General features: G+C 45.4%; 1 annotated feature.

The window, feature by feature from the left end:
• Positions 336-1,190: an enhancer, noted in NCBI's record as "NANOG hESC enhancer chr1:114600776-114601630 (GRCh37/hg19 assembly coordinates)". NCBI's record gives its function as "activates a minimal SCP1, AML or CMV promoter by ChIP-STARR-seq in naive H9 embryonic stem cells {active_cell/tissue: H9 hESC(naive)}" and the evidence as "EXISTENCE:reporter gene assay evidence [ECO:0000049][PMID:30033119]".

The raw sequence follows: 3,857 nt of genomic DNA on the forward strand, positions 1-3,857 counted from the left end.
ACTTATTTTGTTATCCACCGTCTATTTGAAGTATACTCAGTGGTCGTGATCTGTTCCTATACTGGAAATGTGGGTAGATTCCATGATTGTTCTGCCCACTCCTAGGTGATAGACAATCCTTTGGTCACTTTAAGTTGTAAAGACAGCCTCAGTTTAAAAACTGGAATGTCCGATGGAAAACAATGATTAAGTGCTTTTATTTTATCCAAAAGTTGAGTTAGCACCTTTGAATTATGGCCTATAGTTGATGGCATCCTGACTGTAGGAAGGGAAGATAGTTTTTTTTCTCTCTTATTTTATCTTCTCTCCCATCTTCCCTCTTGCTGGCTTGTGGGGAAAAGAAAGAGAGATCAGATTGTTACTGTGTCTGTGTAGAAAGAAGTAGACATGGGAGACTCCATTTTGTTCTGTATTAAGAGAAATTCTTCTGCCTTGAGATGCTGTTAATCTGTAACCTTACCCCCAACCCTGTGCTCTCTGAAACATGTGCTGCGTCCACTCAGGGTTAAATGGATTAAAGGCTGTGCAAGATGTGCTTTGTTAAACAGATGCTTGAAGGCAGCATGCTCTTTTAAGAGTCATCACCACTCCCTAATCTCAAGTACCCAGGGACATAAACACTGCAGAAGGAAGGCCGCAGGGACCTCTGCCTAGGAAAGCCAGGTATTGTCCAAGGTTTCTCCCCACGTGATAGTCTGAAATATGGCCTCGTGGGAAGGGAAAGACCTGACCATCCCCCAGCCTGACATCCGTAAAGGGTCTGTGCTGAGGAGGATTAGTATAAGAGGAAGGAACGCCTCTTTGCAGTTGAGACAAGAGGAAGACATCTGTCTCCTTCCCGTCCCTGGGCAATGGAATGTCTCGGTATAAAACCCGATTGTATGTTCCATCTACTGAGATAGGGGAAAACTGCCTTAGGGCTGGAGGTGGGACAGGCGGGCAGCAATACTGCTCTTTAAGGCATTGAGATGTTTATGTGTATGCATATCTAAAGCACAGCATTTAATTCTTTACCTTGTTTATGATGCAGAGACCTTTGTTCACATGTTTATCTGCTGACCTTCTCTCCACTATTATCCTATGACCCTGCCACATCCCCCTCTCCGAGAAACACCCAAGAATGATCAATAAATACTAACGGAACTCAGAGGCCGGTGGGATCCTCCGTATGCTGAACGCTGGTCCCCTGGGCCCCCTTATTTCTTTCTCTATACTTTGTCTCTGTGTCTTTTTCTTTTCCAAGTCTCTTGTTCCACCTAACAAGAAACACCCACAGGTGTGGAGGGGCAACCCACCCCTTCACTGGCTGATATATTGCTTCTTTCAAAGGGGTAGTGTGTGTGAGGGGGTGCTGGTGGTGGTAAGGGGATGGGGCAGTCCTTGCTAGACTGGCCTGGGAGATTTTGTGTTCTTTGGGCCTGGTAGATGGTTAAAGCCGGGTGGATGCATCTTAATTGTGAGAGTTTATTTGCTATTCTTTGTTAGCCCCTAGGAAGAATAGGCCTCTACTTTCAGCTTCTTCTTGCTGGAATTACTGCATCTTCTAGGTGCCCACATTGAGCAGAACCCAAGACAACGGCTCTCTGATTTTTCTTGCATGGTCCATATTAGTCCATAGAATATATTCAAGCATCTGTCTTCATAACAGGCTCTGAAAATGCAGACTGGGACCAATATAACACCCTCTTTCCTGTTTTCCCAGACTAACCACTTAAGTTTTTTCAGTGAGTCAAGCCCAAGTTCAATATCTAACACTCCTCCCATCTCACCAACTTGAGAGAACACACAGGATGCTCTCTAAATGGTCCTCTAAAGCCCTCTCACTCCAGGATTGAAGGAGGTAACACCCTCCTTCCCCATTTTTAACCCTTTCCCTTGGGTAGAAGAAGTTGACTCTCATAAGATAGCAATAACTCCTTCCAAAGAAATCCTCCATTCTGAAGACTCCCATGTATGCACATTGATATGATTTCGCTCTGTGTCCCCACCCAAATCTCACATTGAATTTTAATCCCCAGTGGTGGAGGAGGGGCCTGGTGGGAGGTGATTTGATCATGGGGGCAGATTTCCTCCTTGCTGTTCTTGTGATAGTAAGTTCTCATGAGATCTGGTTGCTTAAAAGTGTGTAGCACTTCTCTCTTTGCTCTTTCTTCTGGTGGCCACATGAGACTTGCCTGCTTCCCGTTGGCCTTCTGCCATGATTGTAAGTTTCCTGAGGTCTCCTCAGCCATGCTACCTGTATAGCCTGTGAAACTGTTAGTCAATTAAGCTTCTTTTCTTCAGAAATTTCTTCATGGTGGAAGGGATCTCTTCACAGGGCAGCAGGAGACAGAAGAAGTGAGCAAGAGGAAGTACCAAACACTTATAAAACCATCAGATGGTGTAAGAACTCACTATCACAAAACAGCATTGGGGAAACTGCCCCCATGACACAACACCTCCCACCAGGTCTCCCCTCAACACCTGGGGATAACAATTCAAGATAAGATTTGGGTGGGACACAGAGCCAAATAATATCAGCATGGTAAGGTTTATGGGTTTAATTCTAACTGCAAAGGCAAGCTGTTGGGGGGCAGGAGGGTTGAAGCAGGGAATGACCTGATCAATTTATATTTTAAAGAGGATAATCAATGACATGAAAAGAAAGAAGGGAGGACTACTATTGAATGAAAGAGGCTTAATGGACATAAGCAAACACTATGTTTAGATTTAGTTTGGATCCTTATTGAAACAAACTAATTGTAAAAAGAGATCTTTGAGATGACCTAGGAAATTTGAATATGGGCTTGGTATTAGATAGGTTATATTACATAATTATCATTTATTTTGTTAAGTGTGATAATAGCATGCTTTGGGGCTAAAAGAAAGTCTGTTAAGCATATACTGAGAGTGACAAAAAGACAAACAAGAAATAAGAAAGTCTGTATTAGTTGGAGATGTGGAAGTGGCAATGTGGAAGTGGCAATGGGTGATGTGTTATGATGACTAGGATTTGCTTTATTTCAGAAAATAATTAAATAATTGGGGCTTTATTATACTATACTTTTATATATATTTTTAAAATGCATATTAAAAATTACAAAGGAAAGGATCTGTCTGTTGTGTGGAGAATGCACTGCGGGGGAAAGAGTGGAAGCAGAGACCAGTTAGGAGCCCTTACAGCAAGCCAAAGAGAGGGGAGAGATGATGGTGACTTAAAGTGGTAGTCATGGCAGTGGCAGCCTGTCTGGAGTTGCCACTGCCATCATGCCAGCTGCAGCAGGGAGGTGTGGCTGGGGCTGCCCACTCCATGGAGCCAGCAGGAGCTGGGGACAAGTGGGAGCCCTGCCCCTTCAGGCCAGAGAGGGCCTGAAGGCTGGGTGGGGGCCAGGCTGCCAGTCCCACAGACCAGAGTGGGAGCTTGTGGTGCCTCTTTTGGGCCTGCCCATGGCTGCCCAGGGACCAATCAGCATGCACTTCCTCCCCACTGAGGCTCATAAAAGCCCTGGGCTCAGCCAAAGCTGAGCAGATGTCAGGATGACCAGCTGCAGAGAGGAGCTACCACTCCAGGGCCTCCTCTGAACCATTCAGTCACTCAATAAAGCTTCTCTTTGCTTTGCTTACCATCCACTTGTCCATGTACCTCATTCTTCCTGGACTCAAGACAAGAACTTGGGACCTGCTGAATGGCAAGGCTGAAAGGGCTATAACACAAACAGGGCTGAAACATGCCCCTTGCTCACCACATTGCAGGTAAAGAGAAGGAGAGAAGAGCTGCAGCCCTATGGGGAGCCCAGACATGGGAACTCCCCGAGCCAGAGCTGTGACTCACTCTTTGGGGCCTTGTGGTTCCTGGAATCTCCAAGCTTCTGGTTGCT

Source organism: Homo sapiens, chromosome 1, assembly GCF_000001405.40.
Source record: "Homo sapiens chromosome 1, GRCh38.p14 Primary Assembly".
NCBI classification, from domain to species: domain Eukaryota; kingdom Metazoa; phylum Chordata; class Mammalia; order Primates; family Hominidae; genus Homo; species Homo sapiens.